General features: G+C 51.8%; 1 long non-coding RNA gene and 1 other non-coding gene across 3 annotated transcripts in view, besides 2 other annotated features; both read left to right on the top strand.

The window, feature by feature from the left end:
- Positions 1-27,770, top strand: part of MIR3667HG (MIR3667 host gene) — a 242,996-nt gene that overhangs the window by 112,490 nt on the left and 102,736 nt on the right. The window lies entirely within an intron of this gene.
- On the top strand, positions 1,564-1,637 carry MIR3667 (microRNA 3667). The gene has a single exon (NR_037440.1). It is a non-coding gene; the product is annotated as a microRNA 3667 (primary transcript).
- Positions 18,705-19,208: an enhancer, noted in NCBI's record as "H3K27ac-H3K4me1 hESC enhancer chr22:49919471-49919974 (GRCh37/hg19 assembly coordinates)". NCBI's record gives its function as "activates a minimal SCP1, AML or CMV promoter by ChIP-STARR-seq in naive H9 embryonic stem cells {active_cell/tissue: H9 hESC(naive)}" and the evidence as "EXISTENCE:reporter gene assay evidence [ECO:0000049][PMID:30033119]".
- Positions 21,102-21,602: an enhancer, noted in NCBI's record as "H3K4me1 hESC enhancer chr22:49917077-49917577 (GRCh37/hg19 assembly coordinates)". NCBI's record gives its function as "activates a minimal SCP1, AML or CMV promoter by ChIP-STARR-seq in naive H9 embryonic stem cells {active_cell/tissue: H9 hESC(naive)}" and the evidence as "EXISTENCE:reporter gene assay evidence [ECO:0000049][PMID:30033119]".

Raw genomic sequence — 27,770 nt, 5'->3', positions numbered from 1 at the left:
AGAGTATGTGACCTTTGGTGACTGGCTTCTTTTATTTCGCATAATTTTTTGAGGTTCATGTGTGGTGTGCATTGCCTCACCAATTCATTCCTTTTTACTGCTGATAAGATGCTACTGTATGAATTTGTGACATTTTGCTGTCCATCCATCCTTGGATGTGTACCTGAGTTGTTTCCATCTGTTAGCTGTTTGTTGTGAAGGGTGCTGCTAGGAACATTGGCGTGCCAGTTTTGTGTGGACGTGTTTCCAGTTCTTTTGGGCACCGTATCTTGGTTGATCTGCATCCATTGTGCTCTACCCTGAGGTTTATGAACCACAAAACTTGAAAATACCTCTTGTTGGTTCCATGATTGAAACCTGCTTTCTTGCTAACGTGAAGGTGACTGTGTGGTGACCGAGCTCCACGTTCACACTCATAGCTACAGCCATGTTGATGACGGGTCTCCAACATGCCACAATTTGAGCCAAAAGAACCTTGGCCTCCACACTGCAAATCATTTCACTCTGTTGCCGAAATGTGACTGGGGAGACAATTATCTCAGCATCAATCACAGATAATGTTGGAAGGCAGGCCAGCGCCCTGGGGCATTCTCAGAGCTGGAGATGGTAGAGGCTGTCAGATTAAATCACGTTTTACAACTCTTGAAGCTAAATGGGGATCTGAGCAGGAAAATCAGAACTTTTCGCTCTCAGATACGTGTGGCGTTTATTTGGAAGATTACAATGTCCATCTGATTTGAACTATCCCTACAGATCTTATCTTCTGCCTGTAAGGTCGAGAGCCTGAGCCAATGGTGTGATTTTGCTCACGTGGGATTAAACAAAAGCTCCCAATAAAGGTTCATACAGGTGGACGCTGCTGGTTACCCTCCCACTGAGTTTCCATTCCCGCACCCTCCTTTCCAACGGATCCTGACTTTGTTTAGCTATCCACACAGCCAGTGCCTCAGGGGAAGCCAACCTCGCAGCTCGGTGCAGCGATGGGGTGCAATGATCCAAGTGACTCTAGTTCCCCTTGCCAATGGGGAGAAACGGGCATGTGACCTAGCTCTGACTGGTGAGATATGGCAGGAGCTCCACTCTAGGGATTCAGAGAAGTTTCGTCACTCCTAGGAGATATCTACAAGAAGAGACAGTCCTTCCTGAATTTCTGAATGTTTTGCATCTGGATGTGATGCCTGGAACTGTTAAGGCTATCTTTCTCCCAGCCTGAGGATGAAACCCACATGGAAGATGCAGAGGACAGGAGAGGACCTGGACCTTGGTTCGCATCCTTGCACTGCTTGATCAGCCACCGGAAATCCACCTTACACCTTACTTCTGAATTTCCTGTCTTTTGAGATGCTGACTTTCTGTGGTAGATTAAATACGGTCATATATTCTTTGCTGCTCCTCCTATCAAGAATTGGGGTCTTCTCCCCACCCTCAAATCTCAGCTGGCGACTTGCTTTGACTCCTAGAATGTGGTGGGAATAACACTGTATGGTTCTGAGCCTTGGCCTTAAAAGGCCCCTACTCCTGCTGTCTTAGATGCTTCCATAAAGAAGTCTTATCTAGCTTCTCTGAGGATGAAAGACCCATTGAGGAGAAGGTTCTGCTGGCTGAGAACCTTCCTCTCCATGGGTCTTTCATCCTCAAAGAACAGTTCCCAGCCAACCTGCCAGCTAAACACAGCCACATACCTGAGCCCAGGCAAGAAGATTCACCTAGGAAACCTGGATTCACGAGAAATGATAAATTGTGGTTATTTTAAGCCACTAAGTTTTGGGATGGTTTGTTACACAATAAAATCTAATGGACACACTTTCCTTATTGTTCAGGCCATTATGAGTCTGCATTGTTTGTTCCTCATTGGTAGAAGCATCCTAATAGGGGACAATTGTCCAGCTCAGGCTCCAACCCAAGGCAGGGTTTTCATCTACAGAATCCGGTTGCTGCCACTTTGCTGATGTCTCTTCAGAGCAGGCTGTCATTGCTAAACTACATCCCTTTCTCTTTTGAAAATGCTGGTGCGTATTGAGTAGAGCCCTCCGTGTCATGCCCATGAGTTTGCCTGCTCACCTAAGCATCATAGAGTGAACCTCGTGTTTCCTTCTGCAGAGCAGCCAGGGCTTGCTTCCCCCTAGCCTTTTCATCTCCTCTGTGACCTCTTTCCTGAGGGTGAGCTCACGGGACCTACTCAAGGTCTTATGACAAGGAGGCTACCACAGGGGACCCCAAACCTTGCAGAGTGTGAGAGATACGTTTACTAAGGCCTGGGTTTATGTTCTTAAGATCCGGCGAGATCCTTAAAAAAATTATTTTTAATAAAAATATTTTATACTGTTAAGTAAAACAAATGAAGAGAATTCTGGAGAAAAATGTCAAAGCATATGTATAGAAAAAAGTCCTCCATTTTTATAATTAGTGCTAAAATAAACCCAACATTGACTGGGCACAGAGTGCTGGGCACCGTTCTCTGCAAAGGTCACAGAACAGTACCCTCTGGTCTTTCATGACAGTGCTGCCCAGAGCTGTTTCTGTTGCATGAAACCTGAGACATGTTTGTCATAGACTACATGACATTTAAACCTAACATTTTATAATGAGCATTTTCCACAACTATTAAAAAAACTTTCAATGTAACTTTTTAAAGACTCCATCGCATTCTGTTTCACTCTTTGATGGTTAGACACTTAAGCTTTTCCCTACACCTCGTTTTTATAAACAGTGCTGGATTCACCAGCTCATTCATTCCTCCAATCAATAAATAAAATCGTACCAGCTACACTGCCAGGGATTTTGTAATAAACCGCGCTTGGCCTGGGCCTCTTGGGGCCTAAAGCTAGAGAGAGGCCAGCAGGAAAGCAATCGGGTGCCTGGGGCCAGGCTTCGGGGACTGAGCTGCTGGAGGGGCTGATGGCCCCATGAGGGTGGCCTCCTGGTGGCAGTCATGGGGAGAGGGTGGTGGGGCAGGTGGGCCGTGACAGAAGCTGATGACGTGAGGACCGTGAGCCCAGCAGCCTGGGGGGCGGGGGTCAGGGTCAGCATTAGCGGCCAGGCAGGGTCATGAAGGGGGCCAGGATGGCACCACTACCACCAGCCCTGCAGCCCTCTCCCTGTGACTGCCTCTAGGAGGTCAGGGTCAAGGTCAGGGCCCAGGCGGGGTCAGCAGGGGGATGCAATGACACCATGGCCATGTCCCCACCTGGCAGCCTAGGGGTCAGGACGGGTGGGGACACAGGGCAGCAGACAGTGGGCTGGACACAGGGAGGATGGCGGGGTCAGCAACCCTCTGGGCCATAGACCTCAGCTCAGGCGGACACAGCCAGCGGCCCGCCCCGGCGTGAACAGCAGGTCCCGGCGTCTGAGGCCCTGAGCGGAAGTCCCAGCGCGAGCAGAAAAGATGGTGGGAAGGGGGTGGGGCTAGAGTCGTCGCGTGCAGCCGCGAGGGACGACGGGAAGAAGGTGCCCAGGAGCCGCCCTCCCCTCGCTGGGCAGCCAGGCCTCAGGCTTGGCGGCCTTAGGGGCTGGGCCGGGAGCCCGCGGAGAGGACAAGGAGGAGGCTGCGGTGATTGCCCCCGAGGGCTCCGTGGGTGCGTACTCACCGCCCGGGGCCCTCGGGAGGCAGCGGCCTGCTCTCCACTCCACACCCCCAGGGCCGCCATGGATCTGGCTGCTCCGCGCGGGAGCTGCAGGTGAGGCGGACTTGGCTGTGGGCTGTGGTGGGGCCGCGCCCGTCCGCAGCTGGGCAGGCCACGTGCCTCGCAGGCTGGACCTCCCGGTGCCCGCGCCCTGGGCACACCCTGTCTCTGTCTCCGCTTTCTCCGCTGCCCCAGTCACCCCCTTCTCACCCCTAAGAATCGCGCGTCAGCCTGTGACCTGGGTGGACTGCAGCCGCCCAGGGACTGCGCATTCGCTCCCCAAGTGCGCAGCTGAGGAGCGAGGCCGGGTTCGGGGCTAAGGAGCCGGGAGGAAGCGGCCGGGCTCCTGACCCTATACGGAGGTCATCTCGGAGGAGTGGGATGAAGGGCGGCGTGGTGGACTGTTCTGACTGCTAAATCTGCTGTAACAGTAAATGCATGACTTCCATCAGGAGGGAAGACACTCTGAATGAGTGGAGAGGCAGCTGGCCTGGAGGGGCCGGCCCAGGCCATTCCTGGCCCAGGCAGAGCGTCTGCACACGTGCGAGGGCAGATGTGAGACCCGGTGCCACCTAAGAGTGCTCTCCAAGAACCTGCAGCTGCAGGTGCCGTTGATCCTCCACTGGAGCCGGCTTCCACCAGGAGTGGGGAGCAAACAGGAAACTCTGACGCTCCTGTGATGGCCCCATTACTCCGCGTCTGACTCCTCACCCAGCAGACCACTATCGTGGCTTTTCGTGAATTTCCCTCAGACCCTGTTTCTACCCTGACTTTGTCTGTGAAGCTGAAGGCAGCCTGGGGAAAACGTGCAGTTTCTACAGGACATGAGCTGGTGACTTACATAATGGCTTATATAAGCCCCAAACTCAAATAAGCTAGAATTCCCTTGGCCCATCAGAGGCCCATCATGAAGTTCCTAGTTCCATCAAATGAAGTGTGAGAAGCCCATAAACATTTAGCATTGAGCTCCTCTCTGATGCAGGAGGGAAAGCAGCAGGAAGGAAGGCACCCGGGAGACCCAGAGGAACATCTTTGTTTATCCAGCGTGGCTCTGTGGTCCTCCTGCGCTTTCTCACCGCTGGGCTGGGGTAGACAGCAGCCCACCACCAACATCCTAAAATACAGACGGTAGTTCTGCTATGCTTGAGGTGGCTGGAGGTCAGGATGCCAGGCTGAGGGCAGCCCGCAGATGGGGGCCGGCTCTTTCTTCCAGAGGAAGAGTAGGGAAACATTCACTTCATTGCATAAACGAGTCCCAATTTGCATTTTACTGTATCGTAAAACCCGAAGGCCTTACTTTAGTGTCTGATTTAGGCAATCACAGTTTCAGTAGGTTTTATTTTAGCAATATTGGAGTATTTTACTGACAGAATGGCATAAAACTTGACAAGCAAATTAAAAATGGAAAATTAACTCCAACTGGTCATCTTCCAACTGCCATCAGTAAACAAGAGGATGAAGGTCAGAGAGATAATGTGTGTTCGCGAGGGGAGTGTGTTTGAAAGGACCATAAGCAGTTGCAGTTGCCGTTGGAATCAAGATAATCTACTTTATCTCACCAGGCGTTTTATCGGTATTTGTTTTACATTAGATTGGGAATGGGATCCATTCCAAATGATGGTTTTAATCTTAGGAAACATAGTTGAAAATTGCTAGCCAGAGTGCTATTAAGAGGTACACACACCACTGAATTTTATACAGTCCAGTTCTGTTTTCTTTTCCATTTCTAAGTTTCTCCCTTGGCAGGTCTCTTCTTCATTTTGTGGGTGTGCCAGGATTGGAGGCTGGGACTACCTGGTGAAAGGATGGAGATTTCCTCTGCAGAGACTGGAAGGACAGCAGGTGTGGGAAGTTGCTAGAGGGTGAATTGTGTTCCTTCCCAGGTTAATATGCTGAAGCATATTAAGGTCACTAAGCATAAATAATGTCACTAAGGTTGGGCTCTGTAGGAGATAATTGAGGTTAAATAAGGTCACTAGGGCTGGGCTCTGATCTGATGGGACTGATGTCTTTACATGAAGAGGAAGAGACACCAGTGGGGCTCTTGTCTGGGGAAAAGGCAGAGTGAAGACACAGTGAGAAGCCAAGGAGAGAGGCCTCGGGAGAAACCAGCCCTGCCAACACCTTCATCTTGGATTTCTGGCCTCCAAAACTGTAAGAAAATGAATGGCTGCTGTTAAGCCACCCGGCCTGTGGTGCTTTGTCACTGGAGTCCCGGCAGGCACATACCGAAGCTAATGATGGAGACGAAGAGAAGATGAACTGGGATGTGTCTCCGTCAACCCTCAATTGTCCAAGGACTTAAACACAGAATTGAGCAGGGTGGGGATAGTGTCCTCGTTTTGCTGCCCTGGGAGAAAGCTGGCTTAGCCAGTCATGAGAGGGCGGCACCATACCCAGGGTGGCTTGTAGGGGTCCCATGGTGTTGGAGTTCTGAAGAGCTGGCAGTGCTGGGGCTCCATTTGGTGGGTCCAGCTATCACATCATGATGGAGGGTAGGGGGCAGGAGGAATGGCAAGTCCTCTGCATTCTCTGTTGCTTGTCCAGACTCTGTGCTGCCTGACTGCAGGATCTCAATACCACAGTCACCTGGAGAAAGGCCCCAACTCTTCTCCTCAGCCCCGTGGGGGTGCAACTGTCAGAACCCCCTGAGAAGGGCCCTCCTCACCTTTGTCTTCCATAACCTCCCAGCCTGTCTTTCTGGATCTCCTCCTGCTGGGATTAAGCCAGATCACTTGGAGCCAAATCACTAACTGTCAAATCACCTAAAACTAATTGGCTTAATTATCAATTTGCCTAATGGTATATTTAACTAAAATCTATATTTATCAAATTTACATTGCTCACATGACAGAGCAATTCCGGCTCCGTCAGAGGTTCCACGTCGATTCAGTTGTCTTCTGTGTTTGCTTGTTTTTGATAATATCACAAATTTTTAGCTGGTCTAAGGATATTTCTGTCTCATTTTAATATTTCAGATAAGAATTGGTCAAATTTGTATTCACCTTATAAGTGAATATAAATAAGAATTGATCAACTTTATATTCACCTGGTAAGTTTTTGAGAAGCCTTTTTGTCGCCTTTGTGAACCGTATTGTTTGTTTGCTTGTGTTTTGAGACAGGGTCTCAGCTGTGTCAGGCAGGCTGGAGTGCCATGGCGCCACCATGGGTCACTGTGGTCTTGACTTTCCAGGCTCAAGTGATTCCTCTTCCACGAGTAGCTGGGATCACAGGCGTGCGCCACCATGCCTGGCTAATTAAAAAAAATTTTTTTTTTCAGGAGAGACAGGGTCTCACTACATTGCCCAAGCTGGTTCTTTTTCTGTTTTTAAGATTGTACTGATTTCCTTTTGTTTTCAGCAGTTTTATTATGATGGAAATAAACATTAGTTTTCTGTATGTTAATCGAGTTTGAGATTGACTGAATTTCTTAAATCTGTGGGCTGATATATTTCATTCCTTTTCTCACGTGCTTGGCTGTTCTCTTTTCATACCACCCTCTATTCTGTTTCCTCTCCCCAGACCTTCTGACTGATGGGGCAGGGGGGGAAGGGGTCATCTGTCAGAATCTCATTTTCATTTTATTTTATTTTTTATTTATTTTTATTTTTTTGAGACGGAGTTTTGCTCTTGTTGGCCGGGCTGGAGTGCAACGGCGCAATCTCTGCTCACCGCAACCTCCTCCTCCCGGGTTCAAGCGATTCTCCTGCCTCAGCCTCCTGAGTAGCTGGGATTACAGGAGTGCACCACCATGCCCAGCTCATTTTGTATTTTTAGTAGAGATGGGGCTTCTCCATATTGGTCAGGCTGGTCTCGAACTCCTGACCTCAAGTGATCCACCCGCCTCGGCCTCCCAAAGTGCTGATATTACAGACGTGAGCCACTGTGCCCTGCTAATTGGGTCATTTTTAATCCTATTATGAAATGATAGGCTGGGGCCGCAGGGGGAAGGATCATCTGGTCAGAATCTGATAATTGGGCCATTTTTAATCCTATTTAATTGTGAAATGATACGAATTATGGCATGTAAACATTTTGGTCTGACCTAAAGTATATAACTGATTGTTTTTATTTAAAAGGTAATAAATGCTTATTAAAGGAAACGCCATAGAACTGAAAGAAGAAACCGATGGCCCTGTAGATCCAGGGAAAAGTATCTTTTAAAAGTTTAGATCAAAGGGATTTTAAAAATATCTTACATGAGAACCAGACATTAAACTCACACTTCTCTCTCATCTGCCCCAGTGTTTACTCTGTTAGAAGTCTTCTTCAGGAATGTCTTTACTTAACATCCTGTCACCAAGGAGCTGCCTCTGCCTCCGCATGGAAACCAGCACTGAGGTCTCCCCTCGCCTCCCACCCTGTTAATGTCCTTGCTAGCAGGAGCATAAAGGCCATCACGGCGGGGACTCTGCAGTGAAGAGGAGGCCCCGCTCGTGGAGCCTGCTGTAGAAACACTTGCTAACTGTGAGTCCAGGGATTTGATTCCTGACAGAGATTCTCTCCTTGAGAAACTCCACGCAGCCCCCCTGAACTTTTCAATGAGACCTCAACTTTTGGACTTCTGTGGTTGTCTCTGCCTTGTCCGCTTTTGGCAAGAACCCCCACCTAGATAACTGGTCAGGAGACGCCGCCGTCCCCGGGTGATACCCTCACTTCAGCAAGAATCCTGTTAGGTTGGTTTCACCAGAACCCTCTGAGCGCGGTGTTTTGTCTTGGTAATTTCCCGTCCCCTGCCCCCACGCTGCTCCTTGGCTGTGATCCCCTTATTCCTGCTGTCTTCAGAGCTGAATCCGGTCTCTCTCCCCCTATTCAGGAAGGACTGAGTAAAATCTGCTTTTACTGCTTCGACTACTGCCCAGCTCTGGTTTTCTTTGACGTCTCCCTATAGCCTGGTCTTCCAGGCCATGTTTTAACCACTTTCTCACTCACAAAGGGATGGCCTGGGGTTTCCTCCTTGCGTCCGCAGGGGGCACTGAGGGCTTCCGCCAGGCATTAAAAAGACGTAGTGACCATCTTTCTATAAAGAAACTTTTCTTTTACTAGATTCTCAGAAATATGGAGTCTGTGGTAGATGTGTCCAGATTCTTAGGTTAGTACAGTATGATTTTTGTTCTTGTATTTTGTTTGCCCATTTGCAAGCAGATACAGTTTCCTGCAAACTAATCCAAGAGTCTCATGATGACCCAGTCCTGTTCTTCCTCTGACTTAATCTGTAAACTCAGGAATCTTTATGCTAAGATGACTTTTTTTGGATTTGTAGAAACCTAACAGGAAAACCCCTTAGCCTCCTTGTAGCCTTCTCCCGTCTCCAGTTCTGTAATTAGGCTCAAACTCCCAATCACGCAGTTGTTCACTGCCCCGGCCTGGCTTCCTGAGGCTGCGGTCTTGTTCCCAACCTGAAGGATGCTCCTGCTGCCATGGCCCTTGTCCCTCTCCTGGGGCTCGCTCGGTCCCGTCCCTACTCTCGGGGCTCCCTTGGCCCCTGCCCAGCCTCCCGGGGCCCCCATGGGCCCTGCTCAACCTCCGGGGATTCCCTCAGCCCCCTGCCCACCTTTCTGGGGTTCCCAAGGCCCCTGCTCAACCTCTGGGGATTCCCTCAGCCCCTTGCCCATCCTCCCGGGGGCTCCCTCGGCCCCTGCCTACCCTCAGCCCCTGCCTACCCTCCCGGGGGCGCCCTTTGCCCCTGTCCACACTTCCGGGGCTCCAACGGCACCTGCCTACCCTCCTGGGGCTCCCTCAGCCTCTGCCCACCCTCCTGGGGCTCCCTGGCCACCTGTGTCTGAGCTGGTCTCTGCTCAAAATCCCCCTCAGGGTCTTTTCCTTAAAGGGCCAGACCTCAATTCCATTCTTTACAAACACTGGGAAAACCTCACATGCAGGCCTGAGTGTCCTATCCCACTTCCCCTCACTTTGGCACAGGCATTCTTTGGTCCTTTGGAAGGTGCATATCAAATCATGACAGCAAAAAATGAGGACGAAAATTTAAACCAAAGGAAGATTGAGCCTGCAAAGCTTTTGCCCTGCAGTCCCTGTGGCCCCGGCCCTGTCTGGCAGCTCCTCAGGGCTGTGCAGCTCCATTGATGCCGCGAACGCCCAGCGCCGGGTTGATGTTGCTGTGCACTGGGGGCCGTCATCACCATTTTCTTTAGAAGTCCATTTGGTTCCTGTAATTTGGTAACAGCAATACACAGGGCTGGAAAACTGCCACGAAGCCAGACAATTACCCCTGGCTTCTGTCTGGAAGATAAGTTGAGGATTATAAGGACTTGGTGTTTTGAGAAGTTTACCTTGAGGAGCTCTATCAAACAGCAAATATCGTTAGCAAAATGAAATGTTCTTCGCACCAGCGAAAGGCTGGCAGGTAAATCACTGCTCCTGCTTGCGTGGGTACCTCATGGCTGGGGGGAGAGACCAAATTAAAAAAAGAGGAAGAAAGGAATTAAATTGGTGCTTCAGGTATACTATGTGTCAGCTACAATTTAAAGAATAATGAAGCATATCTTATTGCAGAGGTTAAGAGATTAGCAGTCTCTTAATTATCACAGAGATGTACTAACATCCCTTCCAGGCTCCTAAGTAAATCCCTTAACTCAATCATCTTGCTCCACTCTATGTGATTATGAAAATCTGTTAACTTAATACAGTAGAAGACATCTTTTAAGCACGTGTGTGCCTATAGTTGCTGCTTGCCGTTATACAAATTAGTTTTCTCACGTTTAACCTGCCTGACCCTACATACCTCGTTAAATGTCACGCTGAGCGGGGTGCGACGGTGACCGGGCAGATGGGGTTGTGCAGTCACACGGGGACTCCTGTGGGGACAGGCCAGCTGTGCTGGCGCTTGGTGCGGCCACAGGCAGGCTAATGAAGATGCTGCCAAGGACGGAGAATATCGTGAAGACAGAGAACACCGCGTTCCAGCTCCTCTGTGTGTTCCCAGTGCCTGGGAAGGTTGGGTGGGGTGTCTTCTTACAAATACTATTAAGCTTGTCAAGAAAATTAAGTTATCAGAAATAAGGTAACAACAGAGGCCAAAACATGTTTGCTGCTGAGGCGAGTATAGAGAAATGTAAGATGTTGCTTCCTAAGACTAAATCTCAAATAAGAGGACTTAACAAAAGAGGGAGGCGCAGGGGGTGACGGCGGCAAAACAGCTCCAGAGTCATCAGCGTGAGGGCCGTGGGACCTGTGGGTGTGGCCACGTGCACCTTAGGGTCAGACACAGAGCCAGATGGCTGCTCCATGGTCCCTGCGGCTCAGGGCCTTCGCTCCCTCGGGTGCAGATGTGGTGGCTGGGAGCATGGTGTCGCCAACTTTTTACTGTTAGCCCCAGGCCATGGGGTCTGGGTGTAGGGGACACTCACCCCCTTCAGCCTCACTCCCCCAACTCCCTCCGCTTGGTCCTCCGCTCTGCTGGCCGGGGCAGAGGGTCCCACAGAGGACTCCAAGGCTCTGGAAGAGGCAGGACCCGAGGTGGAGTGAGGTGTCGCCGCGTGCTACGGGAATGAACTAGCGAGACGTGAGGTTATAATGTGTACGATGTTCTGGAAAACAAATCTCCAAGATGCTGCAGGTTTTGTGTCTATGTAGGATGGACACATTTTTAAGCTTCCAAGTAATGAAGAAAAGATTCATTTAACTATATAAACATTTCAACCTTTGGGCCAAAGACAACTCTCACACCTAAAATAATGGCACAAATGGGCTGGGTGAAGGTTTTGCAAAGCGTGTTAAAGGGCCAGCATCTGTATCAGTTGAAGGGCTTAAGAGAAGTGGGCAGTGGGAGCGGGTGGGGCAGCGCGTCCTCCGTGAGTCCTCCTGGTCCTTCGGCTGCTCCAACACCCTCCACAGCTCCAGAATCTGGAGACGGCACGTGCAGGAGCCCTCCTGGGTGTTCCAGGGTGTCTCGGGCTCACTGTGATCAATACCGGACCACATGCCTTAGTCCACCCGTCTCTCTCCCCACTCATTTGACTTCCAAATCCCATGGGTTCTGCCTCCTGCTCCCTCCAGGATGCTTCCATGGTCAGCGTGCCTACGGTGCCATCCTCTTCTCCCACCTGTGACCGGCCCTTGTCCACTCTCAAGGGTCTGCTTTCCAGGGAAGCCCTCCCTGGCTACCTGCAGGGAGATGCAGTCCTCTTGGGCCCCTGCCTGTGTTAGAGTCGGTGACAGATGGCCTGGAGGATGCTGGCCACCGTTACGGCTGTGTGGAGAAGGGGCCGGGGTGGGACCCACTTCACAGCAGGGCGAGGGACCCTGGGCAGTTGGCCTGGAGCCCAGCTTCATCTGCTGCACTTTGCTTCAGAGCCCACACCTGTCTCTTCAAGGCTGAAGCTGGTGTCAGCTGGACTCTGTCACTGGCAACCATTGCTTAATGACAAATAAAACAGGACTCATGCAAAACAAACGCCAAACCAGAAAATATTTGCTCCTTTGCTGTGACTGTGGCTACAGAGTGTGAATTTTCACCTGAGCTGGGGGCGGGGAGATCCCAGGTGAACGTGGAAACTTCATCTGTTGCAGGAGCAGAGTTCCTGGTGGTGGCTACATGTTTCCGTCTTCTGTTTTTGCTAATTACGTAGAATTTGTGTAATCTTTAGGCAGAATTTTAAAGACAGGTCACACCTTCACTTTGGGCGGTCGGGGTGCTCCACCCCACAAAGACTAAAACCCCCTTGGTTCCGTGACCCATGATCTCATCCAGGCCCAGAGTCATGGGCGTGGGGGGGCAGACCATGAGTTTGCTCAAGAGTCCCACTGTGGGGAGTGGTACTTATGAGCCCGTGTCGGTGAACACAGCCTTGATTATGGGTTACATGATCCATAGGTAAACCGTGAAATCAGAGTCTGCATGCTTGGGTCTGGTACTAGACACAGAAGTGATCAATCACACATGAATGTCACAGGTTTGCTACCTGCAAGGAACTTAAGCCCGAGTAAGGGAGAGAGGCACAGAGATAGAGACACACCTGGGTGGGGGAGAAAGGCACAGAGATGGGGACACGCCTGGGTGGGGGAGAGAGGCGCAGAGATGGGGACGCGCCTGGGTGGGGGAGAGAGGCGCAGAGATGGGGACGCGCCTGGGTGGGGGAGAGAGGCGCAGAGATGGGGACACGTGAACTTCACTCATGCTGAACTCCAGCTGCATTGGCTTCCCGGGGTGGCCACAACAAGAGGCCACAGACCGCATGGCTTAAACAACGGAGACTGATTTTCTCGCTGTTCTGGAGGTGGCTTTCTCTTGGGGCTTCCCTCCTTGGCTTGTGGACGGCCAAGGGCTGTCACATGGCCTCCCCTCTGTGTGTGTCCTGCCTGTGACCACATCTCCCCTTGGATGGGATTTCCAGTGATGGGTGGGGGCCCACCCTGATAACTCCACCTTAACACTATCATCTTCGAAGAGGAGACCCTACTTCCAAGTCAGGCCACAGTCGCAGTACTGGGGGTAGGGACTTTAACATCTTTTGGAGGCACGATTCAGTCTGTACACCCACGGAGAGGCTCTCTGTGGTCATCTTTGGCTGGCAGGCTCGATACATCTTGCAGGGCTTCAGAGGAGGGCCAGGATGTGTGTCCAAGTCTGGGAAGCTCTGGAAAGATGTGGGGCTTCAGTTCCCTGTTGGAGGAAGAGCAGAGTGTGCCGGGGTTGGGTAGGGCGGGAGGTGGAGGCAGGGAGGGCTGATTGTTGCCAGCTCGGAGGCTGTGCGGCTGGCAGGGCCTGAAAGTTGGCATGGATTAGAAACAGACAGCCAGGGCTGCCCCTGCCTGGAGCACCCGTACTCGTCTGTCTCCTGAAATCTGTTAGAGTTTCGGTTGCTGGCTTGCTTTCCCCCAGTATTTTCTCCTTCAGAGTTTGAGCTGGTGCAGAACACGAGCACAAAATGTCTTCTTTATAGCAGAGAGTCGTGTTCCCCATGCAGGGGAGAAAGGCCCAGAGGAGAAGGTCTAATACCAGATGTGTGTGGCTGCTGCTCCCCTCTGGCTGCCTTCACTAGGAACTTTGCCAGCTCCTGATTCTTCACGCGGGCCATGCTGTGGCCAGCCTGCGCTTCCTCCGCGGTGCCCTGCTCCCCATGGACTCACGCTCATCTGATGCACGATGCTTTCCTAACGAGTTTCTGGCAGGTCCTCCAGAGACAGGACGGGAAGCAGGGTGTTTTCTTCTATCAGCCGCTCGTGGAGAGTAACAGGTGCACTTGGCCTCCTCCTGCTCTGGGTGCAGTTCAACCATGGGGACCTGACTACACGGGCCTATCCAGACGCCCTCCATCCACAGGCAGGGGTGGGTGCAGGGCTTGCAGGCTCAGCCAGGGTCAGGCCAATGCAGTGAGCCTGGGAGGAGGAAGTGGGACCTGGGACAGACCGACTTTCTGTGTTTGCCTGTTGTGCCGTCTCTTGCTCATATACCACTGGCCTTCGCCCTCCTTCCTCATCAATATGAAATCAAGATAATTGTGGGTCAGGACTGATGGCCTCTGTGCCCAGATGCAGAGTGGGCCTGCTCCATGCGCCAGCTAGGGACGGCCGTGCTGGGCTGACACAGACCCAATGTCGCCAAGCATGGGCTCCTCCAGGAACTGCCAGGGGCATCTGGTGGATGTGTCTGCAGGTGCATGGGCACAGCCGCCTTCCTTGTGGCCCTTTATTTCATTAAAGCACTGGACATGAAAAATTAGGATAAAATGTCTTCACATTGAGAACTAAAAATAAAATCCTAAGTCCCCCAACAGACTGAACAGGCCCTGACTTGACCAAGGGGATCCCAGAGGAACCTCAAAAACTGAGTTCCCAGCCATAATGAGACAAGAGGTCAGACATGCCTCATGGTATAGACAGCAGCGGAGCAGCATTTGTGTTAAAATAGAGATCAGACAACCAGCAGAACGGAGCCTTGTGGCCATAGGATACCAAGCTATGAACAGAGTCTAAGGCCAGGTCAGACAAGGGTTAGGTCATGTACCCCTAAGCTGAAAAAACAAACTGTGTTTCAACTGCCACAAGGTTTTATTTTTTCCTTTTTCTCTAACAGCTCAACAATCACAGGACTTACACAATATCAAACAATTCCAGCTCATGAACCATCAGACAGTGATGGACTCCCCTGCTCTGCCAGCCATGGCTACAGCTTTGACTGGTCAAGAGGCTGATTGCAGTAACTTTCTTCTGGTAGGAGACGCAGACATGACTGGATCTGGCCAGTTTACAGAGGCTGCACCCTGAGGGCCATCGTGTCCCGCTTGCCTTTTGACCTACAGGGCCTAATATAATGTATTTAAATGTTACTTCTCCACCTGCAAATGACAAGGGATGCGTGGAATATGCATGTTTGCTTACCACGCATGTGTGTGACTCCCCCATCATGAATATTCATAACTCCTGTAACCTGTTACATACGTATCCTTGACCAACCATTCAACATAAAGCCCTGTTTCACCCTCCCCTCCTTCGAAGCACCAACTCTGACTTCAGCCAGAGGCTACGCTTCTCAGCCTGTCAAAAAAGCCACCTCACAGATGATACTCTTTATGAAAAGCAAAGTCTGCTTTCTAAATTTATAATTTTTAAATGTACATATTTGGCGATGAGGATGGGATTCAAACCCAAGCACGCATGAGCACTAGGATAAGATACTTAATGTGAGGATGGCCTTTGCTTTAACTTTCTCTGAGTTGCTTAGTGAGGAAGCAGGCCAGCCTCTGTCCCGCAGAGGCCCCGCATGTGGGTTCTAAGGAGCCTGTGGTGTCCTGGTGAAATCTGCAGAGTTCAGCTGTTGGTACTGAGGAGGGGGGGCATGCCAGCCCTGTGCCCACCCCCAAGCACGGGCCATGAGAGATCACAGTGGCAACTCCCTTCCTAACAAAGAAAGGTCAGAGTGAGCTGTGGCCCAAGGCCCAGGGCCTTCCCCACCTGGTCTGGACTCACCTGCCCAGGTGTCACAGGGCCTCCTACAGCCCCCTCCGGACTCACCTGCCCAGGTGTCACAGGGCCTCCTACACCCCCCTCCAGACTCACCTACCCAGGTGTCACACTGCCTCCTACACCCCCCTCCGGACTCACCTGCCCAGGTGTCACAGGGCCTCCTACACTCCCCTCCAGACTCACCTGCCCAGGTGTCACACTGCCTCCTACACCCCCCTCCAGACTCACCTGCCCAGGTGTCACACTGTCTCCTACACCCCCCTCCGGACTCACCTGCCCAGGTGTCACAGGGCTTCCTACACCCCCCTCCGGACTCACCTGCCCAGGTGTCACAGTGCCTCCTACACCTGCCTCCGGACTCACCTGCCCAGGTGTCACACTGCCTCATACACCCCCCTCCAGACTCACCTGCCCAGGTGTCACAGTGCCTCCTACACCCCCCTCCGGACTCACCTGCCCAGGTGTCACACTGCCTCCTACACCCCCCTCCAGACTCACCTGCCCAGGTGTCACAGGGCCTCCTACATCCCCCTCCGGACTCACCTGCTCAGGTGTCACACTGCCTCCTACACCCCCCTCCAGACTCACCTGCCCAGGTGTCACACTGCATCCTACTCCCCGCTCCGGACTCACCTGTCCAGGTATCACAGTGCCTCCTACATGCCCCCCCACAGACTCACCTGTCCAGGTGTCACAGTGCCTCCTACATGCCCCCCGCACAGACTCACCTGCTCAGGTGTCACAGGGCCTCCTACTCCCCCTTCCCAGACTCACCTGCTCAGGTGTCACAAGGCCTCCTACTCTCCCCGCCCAGACTCACCTGCCCAGGTGTCACAGTGCCTCCTACTCCCCCCGCCCAGACTCACCTGCTCAGGTGTCACAGTGCCTCCTATTCCCCCTGCCCCGGACTCACCTGCCCAGGTGTCACAGGGCCTCCTACACCACCCCCCCGACTCACCTGCTCAAGTCTCACAGGGCCTCCTACTCCCCCTGCCCCGGACTCACCTGCCCAGGTGGAGGGGGAGGCTGAGCAGCAGGAGATCTGTAGGCCACCATGCCGCTCCCTTGGAGAGAGGTGGCTGGGAGAGGGGAGGGGAAGGGTGGTATTGATCCCACCCCAGGCATCAAAGGAGGGTATGGCATTTCAGCTGCTGTGTTCTGGGGAGGGTGGCCTGCCCCTCTCAGAGGCTGGAGCCAGGCCCTACTTCCAGAGGCGCTGGTTTTCCTTTGTAGTCTGAGATTCTCCCTTTCATGGCAGGCAAAGCCATCGTCAAACTCCCTGCTCCTTGCATACCACCTGTGGGGCAGCCACAATCTCAGGTAAGAAATTCTCACTGTGGAGGGCAGACTGGGCTGCGCAGCTTGTCTGGGGTCATCTTGCTCCAGCTTCAAGGATCACTTCGTTCTCGCAAAAGGAGGGCCAATCTCGTGGAGGTGGAATGGCTCTGCAGCAATTTCTCGAGTAAATGTGGACATGCAGACCACAAGACCACAGACTGCTCCCACTGAGGTTTGGGAGTGACACTATGTCAGGCAGTGGCCTTGCTTGTTTACAGATCTGCACGTCTGTGCTCGTATATGCACAGGTCAGCATCCTTGCAGGCCCACGTGTACCTCACTCTGTGTGTCTGTTCATGTGCACAGATGCATGCATACAGCTGCATGTGTGCACGTGTCTGTGCATGTGTGTGCGTGTGCCCATGCGCAGGCTTATGTCTGTGTGCATGTTTGTGCGTCTGTGTGCATGTTTATGTTTATGTCTCTGTGCATGTTTGTGCGTCTGCATGTTTGTGCATCTGTGTGCATGTTTGTGCGTCTGTGTCCATGTTTCTGCGCCTGTGCATGTTTGTGCATCTGTGTCCATGTTTGTGCACCTGTGCATGTTTGTGTCTCTGTGCATGTTTGTGCGTCTGTGTGCATGTTTGTGCGTCTGTGTCCATGTTTGTGCGCCTGTGCATGTTTGTGTCTCTGTGCATGTTTGTGTGTCTGTGTGCATGTTTGTGTATCTGCATGTTTGTGCATCTATCTGCTTGTTTGTGCATCTGTGTGCATGTTTGTGTATCTGCATGTTTGTGCATCTGCATGTTTGTGCTTCTGTGCATGTTTGTGCGTCTGTGTGCATGTTTGTGTGTCTGTGCATGTTTGTGCATCTGTGTGCATGTTTGTGCATCTGTGCATGTTTGTGTGTGCATGTTTGTGCATCTGTGTGCATGTTTGTGTGTCTGTGCATGTTTGTGCATCTGTGGGCATGTTTGTGCATCTGTGCATATTTGTACGTCTGCATGTTTGTGCATCTGTGCATGGTTGTGCATCTGTGTGCATATTTGTGTGTCTTCATGTTTGCGTGTCTGTGCATGTTTGTGCGTCTGTGTGCATGTTTGTGTGTTTGTGCGTGCACATAAGTGTCCAGGTCTCCTCAGCCACATGGGCTCCTGGGTGAAGCTGCTGACACTGAGATCCTAAGGAACACGTGCACCTTAGTCTTTGCAAACACTTCTGTGTCTATCACAACGTAGGTCCAGATGCCCCTGGAACCATCTCATTCCCTGACTCTTTGTCCTCTACATGTCTTGACCCTAAGAAATACTGAGGAATCATCATTGAATTTTAATGTCAATTGCTGTTATTTAATTTATACCAAGAAATTCAGGAAAGGAAAAAAGTGCATATCCAAAGAAGTGTAAATCTGATACCTGATCAATCCTTTAAGAGGTGATAAATACAAACAGCCTTACTTTTGACATTTATAAATTATTTGGTTCATTACAACAAACAGCGTGTGACATTTTGTGAGCTGTGCAGGGTGTCTCCAGTGTCAGGGTGGAAAGAAAACCATTAGGTGGGTTTTAGGTGTGTGAGCAGATATGGTTGCATTCATTACGGCAGGAAATGCCAATTAGAACTAGAAAAATGAGAAGAATTGGTTAAATTTTTCTCATCAATTGTTACTTATTTGTGTGTCTCATATGACAAGTCCAAATCTGGAATGCCATTTCTGCTTGATTGATTTAGAAACCGTTTCCCAAAAATAACGAATGCCAGCCTGCTGTAAAACCACAGCAGACAACAGCAGCCTATGTCACGCATCGTGAGTGTACACAGAGCTTGGTGCCTGCACACACAGGTGCACACACACACCTCTCACACAAACTCAGATGCATGCCCCCATGCCCACACGGCTACACACTGCACACCCAGACCTACACCCAGCCCAAGCTCACAGCACATGCCCCCACCCCCGCCCCGATACTTACACAATTTGTCCAAGCCTCATTCAAAAGCCTTCCTGCCCCTGCCAGATAACAGAATCTTAACTGCAAATTTCATATGGGGTTGTACCTTCAGGCATGTTGGGGGCTTTGGAGTGAGACAGACCAGGAGTCAAATTCTGGCCTTGCTGCTTGTGGGTTTTGTAACTGTCAGCAAGTCACGTAACAGTGGAACTGACCTCCCATTTGTGGTCAGCCCTGAATGAGATGCGGCAGATGAGGGGTGAGCACGGGACTGCGGCCACGTGGTGTCCACGAGAGGCTCTGGGCACACTGTGCACTTGGCTGTGATTCCAGCCACCACCCTTTGTCCAGCAGCGCCTGGACTGGCTCCTTTAGTGGAATGTGAGCTCCCCAAGGCTGTCCTGTTCCAGCTCCCATTACTGTCCCCAGGGTCAGCCTTGTGCTAGGCACGTTAGGCAGCCAACAAATATTTGTGGAGGGTGAAGAGGCGTGGTCAGTCGGGATCTCCGAATTTGGGGTAAAATGCAAGTGAGGCCGTGGTGTGCTGTGCCCCCAGTCACCCCTTCTGAGGACCATGGGGCATCCTGGTCACTGCCTGAACCTGAGCAGCGGGAGAAGCAGATGCAGTTTCCTAACAGGGAGGTGGTCCCCTTCATCCCAGAGAGCTGGGAGCAGAGTGGGAGTGAGGACAAGAGGATGGATAGGTACATAGAGAGCTCCTTGGACAGGCCTATCCGGGGCAGCACGTGCGAAATGCAGAGCTCTGGTATGCAGCAGCTGCCTCCCCAGCACATGGTATGCAGTCAGCAGCTGTATAATTTATTTATTTTTATTTTTTTGAGACGGAGTCTCTGTTGCCTAGGTTGGAGTGCAGTGATGCGATCTCAGCTCACTGCAACTTCTGCCTCCGGGTTCAAGTGATTCTCCTGCTTCAGCTTCCCGAGTAGCTGGGATTACAGGGACGTGCCACCATTTTTGTATTTTTGTATTTTTCTTTTTGGATTTTTAGCAGAGGTGGGGTTTCACCATGTTGGCCAGGCCAGTCTCGAACTCCTGACCTCAAGTGATTCGCCCACCTCCCAAAGTGTAATCTGAAAGTGTTGGGATTACAGGCGTGAGCCACTGCACGTGGTCAGCAGCTGTGTATTTTAAAGCAGAGTGTGGTGTGTTCTGACAGATTGTGTGTTTGTCTGTGTACGTGTGTGTGGTGTGTGCATGCATGTGCGTACCCATGTGTGCATGTGGATGCATGGGATATTTGTATATATGTGTGTGTGTGTGCACGCACAATTGTATGGCATATGCATGTGTGCACTTGTGTACGAGCATGTGTGCATGTGGGTGTGTACGGGTGTGTGCCTGTGTATATAAGTGGTATATGCATGCGTGCACTTTTGTGTGAGTATGCATGCATGTGGTGTGTGCATGCTTCTGTGCTTGTAGGTGTGTATGGATGTGTGCCTGTGGATACGTGTGTGTATGCACAATCATGCATGTGTGCAACTGTGTCAGTGTGCATGCACGGGGGAACCAGGGAGAGGAAGATGGGGACAGGGTCGTGTGTGCACATGTGTGAGGTATGTGTATGTGTGTGCACTTGTGTGAATGCCTGTGTGTACATGTGTGAATGCATGTGTGTGCACTTGTGTGAGTGCATGTGTGTGCGTGTGTGCAATGCCCATGTGCACTTGTGTGTTCCAGGGTCAGGGCCTTGGCACTCAGCCCAGTCAACCCTGAAGCTCTTTTCTTTAGTCGGAAGTGATTTTAGAAAAAGTAAATAAAAACGGAACTGAACTCCCTCCTCCCTTTTTCATTCATTGTGAAAATGTTAATCTACTGTGTATGAGGCTTAACAGAACCTCATGCATTACCAGGCCTCCTGCTCCACTGGGCGCTGCTCCATGGAGCTAAAACAAAACGATTTATTTATGTGAATGACCACAGCGTTTAGGCCTCCAGTGATGTCTGTCTTTAAACTCGGTCTACAAGATGAATTGAGGTGTACAAGCGAAATGGAAATGCTTTTATGCCGGGGTGCAGGTGGGAGCATGCTGTCACCTTGTTAAGCTCAGCCTCCCTCAAATCACAACATGTACTCTCACCGTTATGGGGACAGCTCCATTCCAGCCGGATGATGCCTCCGTATAAAACACCAGTTTGTCAACAAAGGTGGCCTCTCTCCTTGAACCAGAAGAGAAAACAGAATAAGAATGAGAAGCTCCGGCGTCTTGTGCTGCTGTGGAGCTTGTGCTGTCTCCTAGCATCTTGGCCCCTAAGTAAGCTCATGCCCCCCACCCCCCACCCCGGGGACCTCCCTGAAGGAGCCTCCAGGAAACTCTGAGGCTGCGCTGCTGCCGGTGCTGGGCCTGGAGCAGGAGACCAAGGCAGGGAGAGCCCACAGCACCCCCGTGGTACCTCCCGGACCTGCCTGGCTCCAGGATCTTGAGCCTCCAGGGCAGGGGCACCACGTGTGCGCAGCAGAGCACACGCCCACCACATTCCCCTCTGTGGTCAGATATCAGCTCAGAGCCTGGTGAGGGGTGAGCCATGGAAGTTGCTTTCAAGTCCTCCTGCCCAGGGCCCGTGTCGTGCACCTTCTGTATCTTGGCTTGGGGGAAATGGGAGGAAAGCACAGACCCAGAGGGAGTTGATGGCAGTGCTCTCTATGGATGTCAGTGCTCCGCACAGAGAACCAAGGCAAGCCCAGGAGGACAGTGCAGGAGGACTGTGCAGGAGGATGGGCTGGCAGCCTGGGAAGAGCCAGGAAGGGTCCCAGGGCTCACTCGACAGAAACACGGCGGTGCTCTCAGAACCCCAGGGAGCTTGTTAGCATCGGTTTCTGTTGTGGCAGGCAGGCCTGGAATGGGCTCTGAGGCTCATGTTTCTACGAAGCTCCAGGGGATACAAAGTCTGGGTCCCTGAGCTGCATGTTGCATGGCCAGAGCCTGGGCCAAGGGGCCGTGGGCTTTCCTCCAGGCTAGAGCTGTGCAGTTGGCTCTGTCCTTTGGAATAGAACCTTCTGTCCTACACCACCTGCACCCAATCCCCTCCCTCCACACCCTTGGCATGACTGTCACCTTTGAGACCCTGCATCTCACCCAGCAGGACCCTTCTCACCCTGATATTCTGTCAGTATTACAGCCAGTGTGGCCTCCTGCTGACCCCCTAATGCAAGCTCCTTCGCAGCCATGAGCTCCTGTGCCCCACCCCAGGACGGCCTTCAGCTGTGCTGGCCTGGGTCTCCTGGTCCCCAGTTCAGTCACTCAGCAAAGCACAGTGGATGACTGAACCCTGGAACTGAGCTTCCCTGAGGTGGTGAAATCTCTGAGTCAGCTGGCTCGGCTACGATGCCCAGAGGTGTGGTCAAACACCAACCAGATGCTGCCGTGAAGGTATCTGCAGGCGTGATGCACATTTACAGCCAGTAGACTTGGATGAACCGTGATGTGGGTGGGCCTTGTCTGATCAGTTGAAGGGCTAGAGAGCAGAGACAAGAAAGACTTGTCCTCCAGACACAACAGTAACCTGCCCTGGTCTTCAGCTGCTGCTTGTCTGCAGGTGTCAGACATGCCAGCCTCCATGATTGCATGAGCTCAGTCTGTAAATCTCCCTCAGCCTCTTCTCTGCATGCGTGTGTGTGGGGGTCTGTGTCTGGGTATTTACATTTATATTGCACTGGTTGTCACGCACACCTGTCCTGGAGGCCTTGTGGATTCCACTTTGCTGGAGGTCTGGTGGCTGCACTCTCTTATGCCTGTAGATCTCCAGCAAGGATTCTTTCTAGGTAGGTGCAGCTGGTGAGGAAAGGGGATCTAGGGGGACACCCCTGCTCTCCCATCGGTGTCAGCTTGGGCTGCAGAGACTTCAATTATGGGGACAGTGTCAGCCACCTTATGTGGCTGCACACATCGGCCACAGCAGAGGCATCATATTTGTAACACATCTACAGGCAGAGATCCACGTGGCTGTTCTGAAGAGCAGAACATCCTGAATGGTGAAGCAAAGGCCTGAGAAAACTCTCCACAAAAGCAATGAGAACATTGACAAAATATGCCCAAGCCAGCTTTTTCAGAACATTGGAGGCTCACCAAAGGCTTGCAGCTGTTCAGGGAGTATTCAGGAAAAACAGCTGAATCTTGGTAAGAACAGTGAGTTTCATGGCATTTTAATATCCTGTCCCCATCTTCCTCCCCCTGGTTCCCTCATCTCATTGAAAGCCCATCTCCTTGCAGTCATGGAGCTGGGAAAACCAGCTGCCTGGCCGCGTGGGAGGGGAGAGACTGGGATTCAGAACCCAAAAGCCCCATCTCCAGAGAACTGTCACAGCGTGACATGTCCAGCAGCTCTGTGGGAGGGCCTTGCTGGCAGGGCCTGTCCTGACTCCATCTGCTCAGAGCTCGTTGTCCCCAGGGCCTGTGCTGACGATGGTGAGTGGTGATTGCTGAACACGGCAGCTGCCTGAGATGGGACTCCTAGTTGGACAGACAAGAAGCGAACAAGCGCTTTAGCAGGAAAAGCAGGGGAATGAGATGTCCACACGACACTTTGAAGCACTCTGGCGTTTTCCTGGGGATCTTAAGGGGCACTGAGGGCCGTGCCCATGTCCAGAAGAGGCCCGAGAAGGCTCTTCTCTCTCCTTGGCTGACTTGCAGCCCAGCGCATGCAGAAAGTGAGGGATGAGGCCACACTGGGAACTGCTGGGCATTGGCGGCGTGCCCATTCACAACCACACATCGATAGGGCCTAGTATCCAGAATATGTCAAGAGCCCTCATAGACCCTGTCATGTATGTGGAATCTACATCCAGGAAGCTGTTTTGCAAATATGATTCCTCTGCTGTGGCCGATGTGTGCAGCCACATGGGGTGGCTGACACTGTCCCCATAATTGAAAAGCTCTCTTCACCCGATCATTGGCAGCCCTGGGTGACTGCATGCCCGTGTGGGAAGCTGCCCTGTAAACCCTTCTGTGAGGAGGAGCTGTGCAGGCCTACACCACACGCACCAGGGTGGGCTCCCCAGTCCTCACAAGGCTGGGTCTGTGGGTGCCCCATGCATGCCCACTCTCCTTCAGGGCTTTCCCCGCATCGCAGTGGAGGGACGGCAATCCTGGTTATCATGGAGTGATTCATAATAAAAACCATAGACGAGGCAGTCTAGCAGTTACCCACATAGGCACGATCATCTACATACAGTCCTAACCCTGAATCATGGAGGTTTCACATTTGTTGGCAAAGTAAAATATCACAAACACACAAAGCCCCTGATGTCCTCCCCGTGGCAGGCAGACCTTAGCGTGTCCCTCACGACCCACCTCTTGGTGCTCATGCCCATGTGGTCCCTCTCCTTGAGTGCGGGTGGGACCTGTACTTTGCCTGCAGCACATGGTGAAGGTGAGGTGATGGCACTGCTTCACGTTACGTGAACAAGACTCTGCCTTGCTGCCTGCCTTGCTCTAGAGATGCCCCTTGCTACCCTTATGGGGCACGGGGCTACATCAAGAAAGTCCACAGGACAGGGGACTGTGGGTGGGCTCTGGGGGCTGCTGGAATCCTCCAGGGGGTGAAGGAAGCTGGAGAGTGGAGAGCCACCTCCAGCCAACAGTCAGCAATAAAGTATGGCGCTCAATCCTACAAATAATGTGAATTCTTCCAGTAATCCATGTGGACTGGGAAAGGGATTCCTCCCCAGCCAAGCCTCCAGATGAGGCCACAGCCCGGATGACATATGATTGCAGCCGTGTGAGATGCTGAGCTGAGGGCCCAGGTGAGCCACACTTGGACTCCTGACCCACAGAGGCTGTGAGGGAATAAACATAGAGGAGTTGTTCCAGCTGCAAGGTGGCTGCAGTTTGTTACACAACAATAGACAATAATATACCTGGCAATGTCATAGTTCTCCTCTTTTCTCTCCAGAGGAAGCCATTGTCTTTAAGGTAATAGCCAATAATTCCTCTTTTTTTTTTTTTTTTTTAAGACAGAGTCTTGTTCTGTTGCCCAGGCTGGAGTGCAGTGGTGCGATCTTGGCTCACTACAACATCCGCCTCCCAGGTTCAAGCAATTTTCCTGCCTCAGCCTCCCGAGTAGCTGGGATTACAGGCACCCACCACCACAGCCAGCTATTTTTTGTACTTTTAGTAGAGATGGGGTTTCACCATGTTGGCCAGGCTGGTCTTGAACTCCTGACCTCAAGTGATCCATCCGCCTCAACCTCCCAAAGTGCTGGGATTACAGGTGTGAGCCACCACACCCGGCCCCTCTTTACATTTTTCTTAGAAGAATCTCTAGAATTTTAAAAATTATTTTGCATTTTGTAAACGTTTTTGGGACTGTTTATATACGTTTAATACATTTCATAGTTTCTGTATGGTTTTCACTCAAGAGTCTGTTCTGTAGGTTTACCCACATGGACACGTGTATCTACGGCATTAGTTCTCACTCCTGTACTCCGGTTCATCTTCCACTACGAGTTAACTTGCTGATTCATTCTCTGCCGTGGATACTGGGTTATTTTAAAGTTTTTTTTTTTTTTTATCACAAGGAACTAATGAAGATTCTTGTATGAACCTCTGTATACACAAGGGAGGATTTCCACAGAGGACGTATCTAGAAATAAATTGCTGAGTTGTAGGGAAAACACATGTTCAACTCCAGAATTTAGTACCGAGGTTTGTTTGGAAAGGGCTTCACTGATTTACGGGTCGGAAACCAGTGCACGCAGTTGGCAGCCGGCACTTGGGGTCATCGGCCGCTTCCAGCTGTGAATCTTCTGGGCTGCCGGTCAGACTGTGATGGAGTTCACGCGTCTTTTCAGTGCTGCTCGAAACTCAGCTTTTCTCTTTGTGAATCGTCTCTTCACATTCTTTACCCATTTTTCTGCGAAGCTACTTGTCTTTTTCTGAGCAATGTGCAAGGATTTTTTGGTCCATTCTGGAGACTATTCCTTTTGTATTGACACAGATGGAAAATATCTTCTCTTATTCTGTAGCTTATCTTTTTACTTCATTTGTCTTTTGTCAAACAGGACATCTTGATTTTGTGCTATCGCACTGATTGGTTATCAATATTTCCTTCATGCCTTAAGTTTTGTGTGGCCCTGAGGTGGAGAAACCTCGCCTCACCCCGAGTCACACGTATTGTTCCCGCGTTTCTTGCTAAATGCTCCTCCGTGTTGGTTTCTTCCCTGAAATCTCCAACGCACCTGAATTTTGTGCTATGCTAGAGGTGGATCCTCCTGCTTATTTGGTCATCACTCTTCCAATTTCTGGAAATTTCTAAAATTTCTGCATAAAATTTTTAGTTAAAAAAACTGAAACAGTCCTTCGTTCCACTGGGCTGCATGTGCATCAGCTGTGTTAACTCTGTTTGTGAGGGGTGAGTGATTGACCATTAAGAGAAGGCCCTCAGCACTGCCCTGCACGGAGACATCAGTGAGGTGAGAGAAAGGCAGGGCCCTCATCGGGGAGAAAGGCAGTGCCACAGATAAGCAAATCCTACGGGGGCCGGGAACCTGCGGGGGCTGAAATCCCAGCCCCACCGCTTTCCAGATGCGCTGCTGGGCTGCTGGGGCAAGCTTCTCTGCACATGAGGCGTTCTTACCTTCGGGGTGTGTACGGCGAAGGCCGTTAGCTAAGAGGACTGTGAGGATGTGAGGTTTTCCCCCGGGGAGCCTGGTGCGGGGGGGCGGTGGGGGGCTGCCGTGTGGACTGTTTCTGTGGCTTGTGCCCTACGCCCCACATGCTTCCGCCCAGAGGGGCTTCCCGGGAACTCTGGGTCCAGGGGAGGTCACGCTCCAGGGGCGTCCTTGGGCTGTGGTGTTCCCCGCCCCGTCCTACAGGCACCTCTGAGAGCCAGGTAGTAAAGTCACTTATTGTCCCTGGAGCATTCATTTCTGGCCTATCCACGTTTAAATAAAACTTTTATATATCTCAATAATTATATCAATAGATCTTAATCTAGGTAATTAAAATTCAACAAGACATCCCCAAGGATGTAACAAACACCCATAAGCTGTTTTAACGACTGCAAGCTGTCCCCCTGAAGGTATGTGTCCTCGCCTGGGGGTGTGGCACGGTGGGGAGGACCTCGGGCGCAAAAAGTGTCTTCAGGCTCTTCCAGGACGTGCACCTGGTGGCATGTTTTCATTAAGTATTTTATGAGCCTGCGTTGGATCCTTTAATAAGATGACACGCAGTGCATGACAGAATGCAGGAGGGCCGGGCCGCTGTGCTTGCACGCTGTGGCATGGCTCGGTGAGTTGCTGGCCTTCTCTGAGCTGCTGAAACTCTGGGAGGATGATCCCCAGCTCCGACGGACATTTATCCATTCGGATGACGTCTCCTGCAAACCCGCTCTGCAGGCACGGGGGCAGTGGCCGCGAAGGTTATACAGAGAGGTGTGGAGGGTTGCGGCTTGATGTTCCGTGCGTTCACCTGGCTCTTTTGCTGTGGTGTTTGATGACACCGGGATGCATGGCAGTTTCCAGTTTTGGTGAACTGCGCTTCACACTGTGGCTGAAGGAGGCCAGGCTGGCCTTCACCATGGTCCATCAGTCAGCCCCCTTCTAAGGGTCTTCTGTAGGGCAGTGGGGAGGGTGGTTAAGGTTGGGGGGCAGTAATGACCAGGGCAGGGCGGGTGCTGTTTTGGGGTAGGGGCCAGCGAGGCGCCCTCTGGCTCAGACAGCCTTGATTCTCTGGTCCTCATGTTTCTCAGCTCTAAAACGGGGGCAATGACGGGACGTGCCTTATAGCTGCGTTGAGGTGATGTGGTGTTGGGAAGTGGCCGGGGAGGTCGAAGAAGAAGCCGAGTCTCCAGCTCTGCGCCCAGGCATCGGGGCTCGGGGACTTTGTCCCTCAGATGGCGTCTGGTCCTGTCCCTTACTCCATGGACTGGGTGTGGAAGTCCTTCAGGGTCGTCCTGTGCCAGTGCTGTGGCAGGAGCAGAGAGGCTATGGGGCAGTGGTCTGTGCTTCTTGGGGACCGAGGGATCAAAG

This window comes from Homo sapiens, chromosome 22, assembly GCF_000001405.40.
Source record: "Homo sapiens chromosome 22, GRCh38.p14 Primary Assembly".
Classification (NCBI taxonomy): Eukaryota; Metazoa; Chordata; class Mammalia; order Primates; family Hominidae; genus Homo; species Homo sapiens.
Note: the sequence above shows the minus strand (reverse complement) of the source record. Positions and strands in the feature narration are given on the sequence as shown.